Here is a 17,608-nt window from a genome sequence, read left to right on the forward strand (position 1 = left end):
GTATGAAAAAGATCATACTAAATATCCTTTTTGTACATATTCATATAGTTGCTCAAAGTGGACATTTCTATCATATGAAGGAGTTAATATATTCATCTCTCAATATGATACAGACCAATTGTCCCAAATAGCTAAATAATCCACAAATTGATCCTCCTTCACAAATTAATTTAGGCACATACAATAGTTTATCTATAATTTTTCAGAAATTATATCTAAATTCTTGCTGTATATAATTTTTAATTGACACAGAAGGCAGAATTGAAAGAGGAAAGTGAACAGAATTTCTATACATAAGAGATAAAAGTGGTATTTATTTCCTTTTTCCACTGGTGAGAGGCTCTTAAAAAGCATTTGAGGTGTGTTCCCCATAGTACTTATAAAAACTTATCCCTGTCCAAACTAAAATATCAGTATTCCTTCTTCATGTAAAGAACAGCAAAGCACATGAAGAACAGAACAAAACAATGGGATATAGGTTCAGGGAGGGCTCTAGTCAACTGTTCACACCAATACTTATTGTTTTATCTAAATAAAAGGTTTATCTTACGTATCTTTTGAAAATGGCACGATGTACATAAAAAAAATCTGCTTTCTCTGAGGCACATACATACTTCTCTGTTTTCCTTTATATATTTCCCTTCCATACAATGAGTCACTATTATTTTTAAAAAACTCATATATTTTAAAAAGTGGTTAAAGGATAGACAACCAATAGAAAACGAATTAGAACAATGATAAGACACCAAATTATTGCCTGGTCAGATTCCATTGAACACAAGAAGTCACATTGTGCAAATGAAGTCCCAAGGGAACAAAAAATGCCACCTCAAAATTCATTTTTCAGAGTTGCTTTCCTTCAAATGTCTTTTTGTGGCATACTTTTATTTGCCTGTTTGTGATCCCTGAAGGCAGCACCTGCTGCACAAATATAAAATGTCCCTCTACTACCACATTCTTCATTTGGTTAGTTATGCAATTACACACACAACTTAGCAACCATTTATTGGATGTGTACTATGAGCCAGGCCCAGGCATCGTACTAACTAATGGGGATATAAAGATGGAAGAAATACAGAAACCAATCTCTCCTCCCCAAGAGTTCCCAGCCTATCTGGAACAACAATTGTGGGGTCATGAAATACAGTTGGTAAATGAAAAATAAGTATGGCTGACTTTTCTTGAACAGTTCCAATGTGAGGCTTACTGCGTTAACCGCTTTCTACATGAACTCAGTTAATCTAGCCAATAGACTGTGGGTGGATACAATCTGGGGCCTCATTTTACAGATAAGAAAATTGAGATTTAGAGAAAGGGATTTGTTCAAAGAACAGATAAACTGTGGAGTTTCCATTGAAACCAGGACACGCTGGCTCCATAACCCATATTCCCAGTCTCTGGCCCAGAGGATAGAACACAAGCCCCATGCAATCCTAGTGTCTCCTAGATATTCATTAAGGAGTCATTCAAGTTCAGTCTACAACAAAAGATTTATTTGGGGGTATAGGGGGCACAAAAATGCTGACAGTGTCTTCCTGGCAGAGGGAGGAATCAATCTAAAAGGGTCTTAGACAACAGCTTTGAAGGATAAAAGAAGTCACTAAATTGTGAGATGAGAGCTTTACCTGGAATGTGGCATGGCATTGGTTGGGGAAAATGGAAGGGGAGGAGGAAATCTGAGCGCCAATAGGTGACTGCTTAGGAACTGGGTCCTAAGCCACTTAACTTTCATCCTGGCCTCACCTGTCCTCAGATGAGGCACTGAAGAGATGGGTATGGCTGCCCCATGATTTCTGCTGCCTGTGCTTAGTAATTTTACCCTTCTTTGGGGTGCTGTAGCTGTAACCGTATCCCATGCTTCTTCGGCTGGTTATCACTGCTGATTTTCCATGGCCCCTGAGGTGCCAAAGCTCTATTCTGTGGATAACTTAGGGAGAATTTCTCTTCCCTTCTGTGTTATATACTGTGTTGGGTGGGACTTGGGGAATAACAAGGCCCCAATGCATTCTGCTTTTTATTTCATAAAGAGGTGTTTTACTGAAATTAGCTCTTTGAGAATTTAATCACATTTTTGTCCCTCAAGTTCAGACATGAATTCATAAAGGGCTGCTCTGCAGACACATCTGAATATCATTCTACACTGGATTTAGAATTATTCCTCCACTAACAGATAAAGGTTAAACATACACGGTTGATTAAGGATTCCTTTAGAAACATTATCTTCAAGAAAATTCTTAAGTCCCTCTTGTAAACAGGACTCTGGTGGTCCACGTGACTAGACAGGCATGAATCCTGTGATGTACAAAGCATAGGTTTAGGCCTCCTGTGCCACCCTTGAAATACATATATTGAAGTTGAGGTAATCTGGACCACACCTACCAGCCTCTTCCTGCACTGTTCCCTTGTCTAACATTCCCAGTCTCCTAGCATCCTCTGCTCAGCATTGGCAATACAAAACAAAAATATTGCACTTTTTGACAGCAAACACTTTGCAAATACAAGAAGGGCACAAAGCAATTATAATAAAACATAAAATTTTAAGTATGCGCTTGGTAGAGGACCAGCCTAAAGAGGGAATAATCAACTGTCTGTTGAGAGGGGCACGCATTGGATAAGAAATGCAAATGTATGTACCATTTAACTAGAGTCTTGAAGGATGAGTCAGGGAAAGTTAAGACACAGAGATGGAGAGTGGCAGGTGTGGGTATGTCTAGGCAGGTTAGGGTGAATTTTCAGCTACCTGAGAGACAAAAGGGAAGATCCAAAGGTACAGGGGAGATGCTCAATAAATATTGAATAGGTGGAGGAATTAAAGGATAGCTGGTAACAAACTATATTCTATAACATCTTACTGTTTCTGAAATGTGTTTGCTTAAATACTTTATATACTTTTCACAATACTCATAAAAAGGCAGGGTTTTTAGGTCATATCTTGCAGATGACAAATTTGAAGTCTGAAAAGGCTAAATCACTGTCACAGGAGCGAAACAACTAAAATGCTACCAAGACCCCATAACCATGCCATTGCCACCTCAATGGCCCCAGAGCCTCAGAAATGACACCCATCAGAAGCAACAAGAGGGGCAGAAGTGGTCCCCTGACTTTTTGACCTGTGTGTGTTGTGTTTCAGGTTCTATTTTAGTTCTTAGTTTAGATGCAATGTAACAATAGCTTTGTTTGAAATTTTCTTTGCTGTTAAGATTCCCGACATCACAACCTGCCATCTGAGAGGCCAGAGCAATTTGTTTAGATGGTCTAGCTTTGAGAGAATTATTGAAGCCACACCTGCATTCTGAAATGCTGCCATGAAGCCTTAGCTGTAATCTGAAAACAAATTCTAACACTGAAATCTGATGTGATAAAACAGGTTACTACCTTTTCGTAAACAGATCATGCACAACACTATTCTATTGGAAAGTGGTGACCTTAATTTTTACCATCCAGGTAAAAACAACCCCCTCTTGTCTTCTAATATATGCTTTATTCCCACTGGATATTGGTATTGCCACCCTTTGTTTAAATTAAATCTTGAAGACATCACCAATGATTATAGTCATGAATGTCAGCATTAACGCCAGCAATAGTTGGTAACAAAAGCCAACCTATAGGAGTTTGTTTGCAGAAAGGGAGAAGTCTGGTTTAGGAAAATGAGGCAGAGTTGCTTGATATGCATTTCAATATTCACAACAAAGATTGATATAATACAATAAAAAATTATTGAAACCTGGAGGGACATTATTAATAAGAAAAGTTATTAAGTTACCTTCCCAAACACTCATTATCAACTTTGCCAGAAAAGTGCACATATTATAAACACTGATAAAAATGTTACATGATCCGTGTCTCATTATGTCCAGGATACAGCATGAAGAAAGAAAATGTGAAAGTTAACTGAAAAGTCATTGCAGGAGGAAGATTCCATTGAGGCTACTAAGTGGAATGGCAAAATGATCCATGTGACAAAGAAACATGACTAAATTCTATATATTTTTTTTTTCAAGACATAATCTCGCCCTGTCACCCAGGCTGGAGTGCAGTGGCACAATCTCAGCTCACTGCAACCTCCATCTCCCGGGTTCAAGCTATTCTCCTGCCTCAGACTCCCGAGTAGCTGGGATTACAGGCACATGCCACTACGCCCGGCTAATTTCTGTATTTTTAGTAGAGATGGGGTTTCACCATGTTGGCCAAGCTGGTCTCAAACTCCTGACCTCAGGAGATCTGCCCGCCTCAGCCTCCCAAAATGCTGAGATTACAGGCGTGAGCCACCTGACCCGGCCAGAACTAAATTCTCAGGGGAAGATTGATGACAGTTACTTTGAAAATATATCTCTTTTATATGAATTAACATTTTCAGTTTCAAAAACTATTTTACCTGTCCTGAATAGATAAAGTGCAAAACTACACTGTTATTTCTTGCTCTTCAGATGTGTTGTCATAATAATATGTATCTCATACCAATCCCATAGTCCACTGAATATATGGAATATAGAAATTTTCTGCAAAGGAATGCCCATCAAAAAGAATAGGTAACAAGGCTTCTAGGCCTGAAAGCATGCCTACATCTGTACAAAAAAAAATTTTTAAGAAAATATCACTTTTTAGGTTGGCTAGAGTAGGGGAATTATTTTTAATATCATTATTTCCATCATATATGTTAGTATAATATGCAATGTATTATTTTTAATATAATATTTTTAAGATTATTATTTCCTTTCATAATGTGCTTCAAATTCTGCTATATCACAAGCCACAATCATTTATCTATAGAAAACTGGAGCTAATTAATTTGAATTTGATGATGATGCCAATAGCAATTATAATGCAGTGATGAGTCTTGGCTTAGTCCTTGAAATGAGAAAGACAACAGCAATCAACTCCCTTAAAAAACATGTATTTAACAATTACTTTACGTTTGCTGCACCCTAAGGACAAAAAAAAAATGTTCCATTCTAGAAAGAGCAGAGCAGAATTGAGAAAAATGGGCCCCTTCTAGACTCCAAATATTACTGTCATTTTATTACAAAGCTGATTTTTTTGGCCACAAATGTTCATTCTACTTTTGTATTTAAAATGAGAGATTTATTATTATATGCATATGTTTATTTATTTGGAATTATATTTTATTCATGACACACCTAATAACTAAAAACATTAGTTGTTATCATTAAAGTTAAAATTATCTTACATAGATATAATTACAAAATCTCGATCAAATATGCTTAAGATGTTTTTCTCCTTATTTTCAACTTAGAAATAAATTTCTTAGTTTTCCATAAGCTCTCTAATATCTAGTTCTCCATTTTTCTTTCTATTCTGTAGTTTTATTTTTCAGTTTTCTCAACTAGATACCTTAAAAAACCCATTACTATATTTAAATGAAGAAAATAAAGCACTCATTCTCAGAAAAAAAAGACTTTATTTTGCATTACTTGATTTCATAATTTCAGTGGTTGCAGCTGTTGAATTTCATCACCTACTAGCTGACCAATATCAGTCATAGTAAAATGTCATGCAGCTATACCATAAAATCACATGTGGTATATATATAGATAGATATAGATATAGATATAGATGTAGATATAGATATAGATATGAATTACAATCTGACAAATTATTTCTCTCTTTTCTTTTTTCCTTCTGGTTTTCTTTCCTCCCTTCCTTGCTTCTTTCTTCCCTTTCTTCCTTCTTTTTTTCCCACCTTCTTTTCTTCCTTCCTCCCTTCCTTGCTTCCTGTCTTATTTTCCTCCCTTCCATCTTTTTCGTTCCATTGCACTTTTCTTCCTTCATTTATTCCTTCCATCCATTCTTTGTTGTTCACCACTCTAGGATGCAGTCTATATTGGTTTATATTCCTTCATTTGTTCAAGTGGTTCTGGGAAACCTGAATTACTTACCAGTTCAGTTAAAGTTTATTTTAGTGGTGCTTTCATCACTCCCTCATACCTTGACACTTTCCAGGAATGCACCTTGGTGAATCACTTTGTGATCAAATTCTGAGCAGTGACAAGCACATATCTAATCAAGTGACCCTAACATAGCAGGTGAGTGCTCTAAAGAAGCTATATTCAACATGATGGAACGATAGAAAAAGAGGAGGTTAACCCTATCTGGCAGAACTTGAGAGGCTTCCAGAAAGAGGTAATATTTGATCTTGAATGGAATAATGAAGAGGAAGTAGTCAGACAGACAAGATAGGGTATTCCATTTGGAAGGAAACCAGGAGAAATGACTCTAATCCAATCAACAACATCAACAGCAACAACAAAAATCATTGACTTAGTTAATATAGTTGTAAAATTTTATTGTTAAATATATATTTCATAGCCAAAGTCTAATCTTATTTAGTCGCTGGTGGAGTTAAGTAAGACTTATAAAAAGTTCGTTTTGAAACCATGTTCCAGGAAAGCTATACTTAGCCTGAAAGAGCAGGCAGTGCTGCTAACCATCATAATGTTGTTCACATCATGCTGTTCCTGTCAGGGTAGACTGGATTGCTCTCAGGGTGATCAAAGGAGACCCTGGAAATGCCAGTGACTCATGACGGTAAGATGTTGGGGAAATATCTTGAAAACTGGCATGTATTCGTGTGCTCTGATTTGTGAGACTTGTCAGAAATCTGAAATTGCTTTCTTTCTGTTGTAATGTCAGGTGATTTGTGCTGGGTATTATTTGAAACATTTAAACATTTTTCATACCTGTACTAATAGTGATGAATACCCTCAGCCATATGTGATATTGTCTCCTAGGAACAAGGAAGGAGTATTCATATTCATTTCAGATGCTTTTTTTTTGCCACACTATTGATATCTACACCTAATTATTTTACAAATCTCCCAGGTTGCACACATTATGAGTCTTTTTTGTATAAATACACTTTTATATTCTATTGGTTGCCTACTTTTTATGTTTCTATAAATATAGACTAGAACCCTATTCATAGAACAGATGTGTAGGTACATAAAAATGTGAAAAGTGTTATTGATTGCTATATTTCCTTAACATTACTGATATGGAAATTGAAAATCATAAATCCAGGAATAAAGCAATCCAAAACCATCTGAATGCAATGAGATACAAATGCTTTAAAGTTGTAGAACTTTATAGCCAAAAGTTATCTTAAAATGATTTACTTCAGTCTCCTATTATTGAATATAGGAAACTGAGGTCAAATGAGGTTATAACTTACTCCAGATTCCTCAGTTATTGAAAAATCCTGGAGTTAGAATACCAGTTTCATGACTCCGAGCCACATGTTGTTTCAGTTGATCTATTGTATATACTCCCATATAATTCATTTTTTCTTTAAATATATTGATAAAATCAGAGGTTTAGAAGGGCCTTCAAATATCATTTATTCCTCTTGTTTTTCCAGTGGATAGAATCCTTGTTTTCTATACAGACAGTAAGCTATTAACTCATAAAGATAGGGACCATGTAAATTAGAGTATTATTCAAATGCTATCCCCAAATTATCAACTTTCTGCTTAAATAAGTCAAATGAAGTTAACTTATCAAGTGAAAAGTATTACATTTTAACATAAATGTTACTCTGATATTGAATTAAAATTCAATCAAAATGCCACATAATGTACATAAATGATACAAGAAAGTTTGTCAGTGACATATCCATTCTAAAGTAAAGGGACTTCATTACCATGCTGAAAAGAGCAGTATCATTAAAGGATGTTGATAAATTGTCTCCATTGCCAAGGATTGGTCAGTTTTTAAGTCAACTCACCTATAAAAAGTTTAACCTATAAAATGAGACATTCTCCAGATAACCCCATATTCTACTAGACTTATATCCAGTCAAATGCATATAGCTGACATTGCTACACCATTCAACAAGTGTACTGAGACCATACTTTGTGGAGCACTGAGTATGAATGCATTTTCACAAATTGGGCTTTGGTCTCTACCATCATATGCTTCATGAACCATTCCCCTCTGCATCTCTGAGGGAGAGCTTTGATGAGATAAAACAGTCTGGGTTCCAATCGCTGCTCTGGCACATGCTAACTGAGTAGGTCCTTTCTACCTGCAATACTTTTGTTTGTAAAATAGAATGAAAATACCTCTCTCATAAAGTTTAGGGAACATAAAATGAGGTGGTACTTATAAAATACCCAAGTGCAGTTTCTAGAATATAAGGCAGAATTGAAAATATTTAAGTACGAGATATTGTGATTCACTTTGATTCAAATAAATCAATAGGAAAAATGTTTCGATAGCATTTAATGGCAAACATTTAGGAAAGGTCATTGTTTTTGACATAAATGCGTTTGATAATTCAGTATATCAGAATACAGGGCTCTTCATTCATCTTTACTGAAAACATAATAGAGAAGGTTGGAAAATATTTACAGAGCAGTTACCATAATGCAACAAATACATATTTTATTCTGTCACTGTATAGTAGATTTTGGGCAAGTTTGTTGCAAATGAAAGAAACCCTTCTGTAACATTTTGTTTTCATTTTAAGATTTTTATTTTTATTTTCACTGCACTGTAATCCTTAGCCTCAAGACAACAATTACAACAAGGAGCTTGTTATGCCTTTTTATGGCAAATGTTATATGTTAGAGTATTTTTTATAGAAAATTGGATTAACTCATAGAAATTGTAAAGTACACACTAGCACTCTGATGTTTAGCTTATTATCTATTCCTATCTTTGCTAAATATGCAACATATCTATTTACTTCTCTATCAGAAAGCTTTAAATTTATCCTTTCAAGCCTATTTACAAAAAATAAATTTTTGAATCAAATACACTAATTTCTAAACAAAACATATATTATTTCTTACACAATGAAAGGTAAGCAAAGAACCAATGTCGACTATAGCTAGTAAAGTTAGTGCTTTCATTACATATTACATATTCACCATTTGACAACCACCGTAAGGCTGATAAAATAATGAAAGAAGAATAATTTTGCCTTTTCTTAGGTGAAAATGTTTACCACACCAGGGCTCAGAATTGAGTTACCTGTCCTGCTGGAACCTGAACTTTTCTTTTAATCTCTATCCCTACATTCCTGTAATAATTGCCTATAAAGACTGATGTCCTTCCTAAAATCTGGGACATGTAATATAATCTCGCTAGATGTCTTACTAGATACTGGTATTCTAGCTAGAAACCCAGCTTTATGGCTGGTGCCTAACAACTGTTGAGAGATCTCCCCACGTCTCAATTCCTGTTGCTTTATCCACATCTCTGAACAAGGCCTTGTCCAAATTCTCTGGAAATTTGCTAGTCACAGAAGCAGTAACCAAACAAGGCTTTTGTTTTACTGTGCCTCAATTATATCCCATAGTTAATGAAAACGTATGAAATATCTTTCTAATTATTTGTGCCTTCTTCAATTTCTTTTAATGTTTTATAGTTTATGATGCACAGATCTTTCACCTTCTTGGTTAAATTTATTCCTAACAATTTTTGCAGCTATTGTTAATGAGATTGCTTTCTAGATTTCTTTTTCAGATAGTTTGTTGTTAGTACATAGAAATGCTACTAATTTTTGACGGTGGATTTTGTATCATGTGACTACTGAATTTATTAGTTCTAATAGGTTTTGGAGGAGTCTTTAAGGGTTTCTACGTATAAAATCATGTCATATGTAAGTGTGGACAATTTAACTTATTTCTTTCCAATTTAGATGCCTTTTATTTCTTTCTTTTGATTAATTGCTCTGGCTACGACTTCCAGTACTACATGGAACAGAAGTGGTGAGAGAGGGCAACTTCGTCTTGTTCCTGATCTTAGAGAAAAAGCTTTCATTTTTCACACTTCACTATAATGGTAGCTGTGGGCTTGTCACATATGGCCTTTATTATGTGGAGGTACTGTCCATCTATACCTAATTTGTTATGAGTTTTTATTATAAAAGAATATTAAATTTAGTCTAATACTTTTTCTGCATCAACTGAGATGGTTTTGTGTTTTCTATCTTTTATTCTCTTAAGCTGGTGTATCATAATAATTGATTTTTGTATTTCGAACCATCCTTGCATCTCAGGGGTAAATCCCACTTGATTATAGTGTGTGATGCTTTTAATGTGCTGTTGAATTCAGTTTGCTAGTGTTTTGTTGAGAATATTTTCATCTATGTTCATCAGGGACATTGAACTGTAATTTTTCCCTGTAGTTTCATTGTCTGACTTTGGTATCAGTATAATGCTGGCATTGTAAAATAATTTTGCAAGTGTTCTCTCCTCTTCAATTTTTTGGAAGGGTTTTAGATGAATTGGCATTAAAGTTTTCTCATATGTTTGATAGAATTAACCACTGAAGCTACCAGATCTTGGGCTTTTCTTTGTTTGAAAGTGTTTTATTACTAATTTATTCTCCATAATTGTTAATATTCTGTTCAGATTTTCTATTTCTTTATGACTTAATTTTACTAGGTTGTAAGTTTCTAGGAATTTATTTCTTCTTGGTTATCCACTTTTACCTCATGTAACTGTTCACAGTAATCTCTTATAATCTTTTGTATTTCTGTGGTATCAATGAAAATGTCTCCTTTTTTATTAATAATTTCATTTGTTTGAGTCTTCTCTCCTTTTTGTTACTCTAGCTATAAGTTTTTCAATTTGGTTTACTGTTACAAATAACTAGCTCTAGTTCATGGGTCTTTTCTATTATTTTTCTAGCCTCTACTTCATTTATTTCTGCTCTTATGCTTATTCTTGTTTCTTCTGCAAACTTCGGAATTAGTTTACTCTTTTTCTAGTTCCATGGGTTGAAAAATGAGGTTGTTTTGTTGACTGTGGGTTTGTCATAGATGGCTATCATTATTTTGAGGTATGTTTCTTCAATACCTAGTTTATTGAGAGGTTTTAACATGAAGGGATGTTGAATTTTATCAAAAGCCTTTTCTGCATATACTGAGATAATCATATGAATATTGTCTTTATTTATTTATTTATTTATTTATTTATTTATTTATTTATTGGAGACAGAGTCTCACTCTGTCACCCAGGCTGGAGTGCAGTGGTGTATTCTTGGGTCACTTCAACCTCTGCCTCCCAGGTTTAAGCAATTCTCAAGCCTCAGCCTCCTGAATAGCTGGGATTACAGACATGTGTCACCACACCCAGGTAATTTTTTTTTGTGGGCGGGGTTGTCTTTAGTTCTGTTTCTGTGATGAAACACATTTATTGATTGGTATATGTTGAACCAACTTTGCATCCCAGGGATGAAGCCTACTTGATCAGGGTGAATTGACTTTTTAATATGCTGCTGAATTCAGGGTGCAGGTATTTTGTTGAGGAGTTTTGCATCGATGATTTTCAAGAATATTGGCCTGGAACCAATCCAAATGTGATGGCATTTGCAATGATCTGGATGAGATTGGAGACTATTATTCCTAAGTGAAGTAACTCAGGAATGGAAAACCAAACATTGTGTGTTCTCACTGATATGTGGGAGCTAAGCTGTAAGGACGCAAAGGCATAAGAATGATACAGTGGGCCGGGCACGGTGGCTCACACCTGTAATCCCAGCTCTTTGGGAGTCCGAGGCGGGCCGATCATTTGAGGGCAGGAGTTCGAGACCAGCCTGACCAATATGGTGAAACCCCGTCTCTACCGAAAATACAAAAATTTGCTGGGTATGGTGGTGTATGCCTGTAATCCCAGCTACTCGGGAGACTGAGGCAGGAGAATCACTTGAACCTGGGAGGTGGAGATTGCAGTGAGCTGAGATCGTGCCACGGCACTCCAGCCTGGGTAACAGAGTGAGACTCCGTTTCAAAAAAACAACAACAACAACAAAAAAACCCAGAATGAATGTTACAGTGGACTTTGGGGACTTGGGGAGAAGAGTGGGAGGGGGTGAGGGATAAAAGACAACATATATGGTGCAGTGTATACTACTCGGGTGATGGGTGCACCAAGATCTCACAAATAACCACTAAAGAACTTACTCATGTAACCAAACACCACCTGTACCCCAATAACTTATGGAAAAATAAAATAATAATAATTTTAAAAAAGAATATTGGCCTGAAGTTTTCGTTTTTGGCTGTGTCTCTGCTAGGTTTTGGTATCGAGATAATGCTGGCCACATAGAATGAGTTGGGGAGGAGTCCCTCTTCTTCAATTTTTGGGATAGTTTCTGTAAGAATGGTACCAGCTCTTTTTTCATACATCTGGTAGTATTCAGCTGTGAATCCATCAGGTCTTGTGTGTGTGTGCATGTGTGCGTGTGTGTGTGTTTGTGTGGTTGGCAGGCTACTTATTACTGATTGAATTTCAGAACTTATCATTGGTCTGTTAAGGGAATCAGTTTCCTCCTGGGTCAGTCCTGGGAGGGTGTATCTGTCCAGGAATGTCTCCACTTCTTCTAGGTTTTCTAGTTTGTGTGTATCTTGGCCACTGCCCTCTTTTTTCATAATGTTAGTATTCATTGCTATAAACTTCTCGGGACTGATTTTGCTGCATCTAATAAGTTCTGTAAGTTGTGTTTCCATTTTCATTTGTCTTAAGAAATGTTTTTGTTTCCCTTTGGATTTCGTTTTTGAGCAATTTGTTGTTCAGGAGTATGTTATTTAATTTCCAAATACTTGTAAAATTTTAATTTTTCCTCCTTTTAGTGATTTATAGTGTCATATCATTGTAGTCATAAAAATACTTGTATTGTGGTTCTCCAGAGAGACAGAAACAATAAGAAATGGATAGATAGATGGATAGATAGATGATAGATAGATAGATAGATAGATAGATAGATAGATAGATAGATAGATAAATAGACATATCAGAGGAGATTTATTAGGGGAATTGTCATACATGATTCAGGGTTTCAGAAGTCCCATAATAGGACATCTGCAAGCTGAAGAATCAGGGAAGCTGGTAGTGTGGCTCAGTCCAAGTCCAAATTTCTCATAACCAAAGAAGCCAGTGATGTAACTCTAAGTCTATGGCCCAAAGCCTGAGAGCCCAAGGGGCTGCTGGTGCCAGTCTCTGATTTCAAAAGCTGAAGAACCTGGAATTCAGACATCTAAGGGCAAGAGAAAAGTCAGGTATTGGCTGCAGAAGAGAGAGCAAGAATTTACCATTCAGGACATAGGCATGGGCAAGGACTTCATGTCCAAAACACCAAAAGCAATGGCAACAAAAGCCAAAATTGACAAATGGGATCTAATTAAACTAAAGAGCTTCTGCACAGCAAAAGAAACTACCATCAGAGTGAACAGGCAACCTACAAAATGGGAGAAAATTTTCGCAACCTACTCATCTGACAAAGGGCTGATATCCAGAATCTACAATGAACTCAAACAAATTTACAAGATAAAAACAAACAACCCCATCAAAAAGTGGGTGAAGGACATGAACAGACACTTCTCAAAAGAAGACATTTATGCAGTCAAAAAACACATGAAAAAATGCTCACCATCACTGGCCATCAGAGAAATGCAAATCAAAACCATAATGAGATACCATCTCACACCAGTTAGAATGGCAATCATTAAAAAGTCAGGAAACAACAGGTGCTGGAGAGGATGTGGAGAAATAGGAGCACTTTTACACTGTTGGTGGGACTGTAAACTAGTTCAACCATTGTGGAAGTCAGTGTGGTGACTCCTCAGGGATCTAGAACTAGAAATGCCATTTGACCCAGCCATCCCATTACTGGGTATATACCCAAAGGACTATAAACCATGCTGCTATAAGGACACATGCACACGTATGTTTATTGCGGCATTATTCACAATAGCAAAGACTTGGAACCAACCCAAATGTCCAACAATAATAGACTGGATTAAGAAAATGTGGCACATATACACCATGGAATACTATGCAGCCATAAAAAATGATGAGTTCATGTCCTTTGTAGGGACATGGATGAAATTGGAAATCATCATTCTCAGTAAACTATCGCAAGGACAAAAAACCAAACACCGCATGTTCTCACTCATAAGTGGGAACTGAACAATGAGAACCCATGGACACAGGAAGGGGAACATCACACTCTGGGGACTGTTGTGGGGTTGGGGGGAGGGGGGAGGGATAGCATTAGGAGATATACCTAATGCTAAATGACGAGTTAATGGGTGCAGCACACCAGCATGGCACATGTATACATATGTAACTAACCTGCACATTGTGCACATGTACCCTAAAACTTAAAGTATAATAATAATAAAATAAAATAAAATAAAATAAAGAATTTACCTTTTCTCTGACATTTTGTTCAATGAGCATGGGACTGCAGAGGCCAGCCTGGAATTTGGGGTGGCAGGGGCTGACCCAGCACTGGGAAGGCCTAAAGCCTGTATTAAGGGTTCTTGTCTGGTGCCTAGGACCATGGAGACCAACCTGGAGTTGAGGCTGCAGGGCCCAGACAGGTGCTGTCACCAGTCTCGAGGGAAGGGTGGGCTTGGATTCTGAGTTCATGGGGACAGTTTGAAGCATTGGGCTACCAAGGCTGGTCTGGAAATAGGGCAAGCCTGGAGATTGAGGCTGAGGGAGCTGGCCTGGCTTGGCATGGGCCTGAAGTTGGGGCTCACTGTGGCTAATCTGGTACTGAGGCGAGTCTGAAGGCTTGGTCTGTGGTACTAGCTTGAAGCCTTGGGCATTGGGAGCTGGCCTAATGCCAGATTTCAATAAGCAGGCTCACTGCTGTGGTCCAGGGCAAGATTAGGAACTCACTTCACTCTCCTTCCCCCACATGGAGGGTATCTCTTCCAGTAATGTGCTGCCTGTACTGGGAGAAGGGGTGATTCAGGTAATGTGAAACTGTTTTTTCCTACCCTCTTCCAGGTGTCTTTGTTTTATTTCTGTACTACAACCAAGTGCTATAATCTCACATCTGGATTACTTGGTTCTTTTGAAGGTATTTCATATATGGGTAGTTGTTCAAATTGATGTTCTACAAGGGGATGAGCACTGGAAAGTCCTTTTCCCTGCTATGGTTCTCAATGAAGCCTGCACTGTCCTAGAACTAGAGACATGCTCTATATTTTATATGGTTTCACAACAGACAACCAGGCCCTTTTGGCACTGTTTATCTGACAAAATTTAATCCTAATCCATTTTTCAGGAATCTCCCATTGGAAGAACAAAGAAAATAAATATAGAAGAGTGAGGAAAACTGTTTGCTTTTTTTGTTGTTGTTTAAAAAAGCATTAGAAATACTAGTCCTCATTTCTTTCAGACCCAATTCACTTCATACTTACTAAATCAGAATCTCCTTTCTTACAAGATCCCCAGGGAATGCATGTTCCCGTCTCAAGGGGATGTGAACAAGGGGAGGGATAAGGACGGCTCAAAAATTCCAAGGGCTTTTACCAGTTTGCACAGGCAGAGGGAAGCCAAAAGCTCAACTAGTAAAACATTTCACCCTTTTGCCGGCATGTTTTTTGGGCTTCTGTGTTCCCTTCCCCTGAGCCCAATCCTAAGCCAACCGGTTTAAGGTTTGGGAAATTAACTCTTTCCAGCTTGGAGGACGCAACTGAGAAGAGTGTCCCATAGTACAGAGACACAATTACCTATCAGTGAAGAGAGGACAGAGGAGGAGAAAGGAATAAAAAGAAGGTGTTTTTTTCAAAGGAGTCCCAGGGTTTCAGGATGCATTCTAAAGGGGTACAGACTGAAGATGAGTGGCTACCTGTCTAGAAAGAAGGGAGCAGGCATCCCTGGTTCCCTTCTTTTCCTAGCAGATACCTGGGGATAAATGAGGGAGAAAGAGAAGAGTGTCCTATTTTCATTTTCCATCCTTGCATCCACGAGTTCTGGCAACCTTGGCAGGTGCTGCCATGGGTGTCAAAGTGACTTGCACCCTGGAAGCAGGGAGGCCTACAGAACAGGAATTACCCGCTCTTACCTATGTCTCTTTCCCACCTGCTGTCAGTAGCCTTAGAGTTCTCTAGACCTCATTTATGCCATGGATATTAACATGGCCTTTATCCATGAAACAGGAAGCTTGGGGTTGGCTTAATTGGCAGGAATCAGCCACACTCGCCTGCGCTGTGTCTTTTAACTTCTGTTGTCATTTGCATCTGGATCCCTCAGATCCAGTTTTCTTTCCTAGGGCTTTGACCTGAAGCTTGAAATTGAGTCTGGGGCAAAAAAATGCCTCTCGGTGGGGGCAGAGCTTGCATGGACTCCTTGTCATAAGCCAAATGCTAAGGTGAAACTGTGGAAACTGTGAGTCCTTCTTCAACAAGGGAGAGAAAATTATGAATTGTGACATACCCAGATAACTGGTAGCTTTCATTATGCTTGCTAGGTTTTTGGTGCATGGTGCTTGGCTTTGGTTAGCTCCCTTTGTTTAACTTTCCCAAAAGGAAACCTCCAGGTGATGGGCATCCTATTTATTCCAATCACCTGGCAGGATTTGCTGGATAATTGCTCAGAGCTAGAATACTGATCCAGATTTTTACGTTACCCATCCCTCTTGTTCTTTCTAAGCTGCAGCCAAAGATTGCTGGTTGGTCCACAGGAACAAGCAGCATTAGTCTAAAACATAGGTGAAAACTTAAAAAACAATGAATGAGTTTAGAATTTAGTGACACATGTATGATAAGTTTTGGAACATAATTTCTCTCTTTACAGTCGTCATTTTTGTTAACAAACAAATGATCATAAGACTGAGTTGTTAAATAGACTTTAGTCTTATACTTGGCCCGATTATTTGCCTGAAGTGCAGCAAGAATAATTATTTCTACATAGGCCTTTTGGATTGGTTTTGATGGAATTCTGTTCCACAAGGAATCTCATATAAGATCTTTTAAAGCCAAGCCCAACCATGGGTTTGTATACTCAAATACCTGTGAGTTGGGTGATCCTGTCCTCTTAAGGTTCCAAGATAAGTTTGGAGCTCCTAGACCTGTTAGAAAGTGACATCCTTTACTGACCACAGGTCAGGAACCCTGTCCAGGGACTGTGTAGGTAAGAGTATGAGGCCAGTTTTCCCAATGGGCTTCTATTAGCTCTGTAAGTCAAGCTTGACTCCTATAGATTCTTATCACACTGATGCAAACAAGTATATTGTCATAAGTTAAGAATACTCACAGAGAGTTTCCAAATTCTAGAGAAACCAGGCAGAGAGAAACAAACATGCTTCAAATTTTGTTCATAGAAGTATGCCTTACTCAATTATTAAAGGACTTAAATAGTTCAAAATAAGTTTCCTTGACTATGAAAACAAAACATGGATTAGCAATATTCCAACAAAAAGTCAAAAAGTTTGCTTCAGCTTTCTGAGTTCAGTCCATTAACTCTTGTTTTGCTTGATATTTGTGAACATTTCAGCTCTTCATGAGCCCTATACGTTTTCCTTTATTCCGATGTTACAATTTACAAAGTTATCAGAGGCCTGTATTTGAGAGTACCTGTTAAAAGTTCTGTAGCTTATTTTAAACCATCTTTTGAAAAGGATTCAAACAAGACAATTGCCTGTGAATAACAAAATGTTCAGGGTAGTTACGCTTAGAAACACAATTGACAAAGAAGTTTGGTTATCTCTGTGGTTTACAGTAACTTAACATAAAAACTATGTTAATTATGATGGATAGCATATACTCAGACATTAGAATTTTAGAAATTCCATATAATTTTGGAACATATATTAGCATTATTCACCAAGATATAACCTAAAGAAG

The sequence above is a fragment of the Homo sapiens genome, chromosome X, assembly GCF_000001405.40.
Source record: "Homo sapiens chromosome X, GRCh38.p14 Primary Assembly".
NCBI classification, from domain to species: Eukaryota; Metazoa; Chordata; class Mammalia; order Primates; family Hominidae; genus Homo; species Homo sapiens.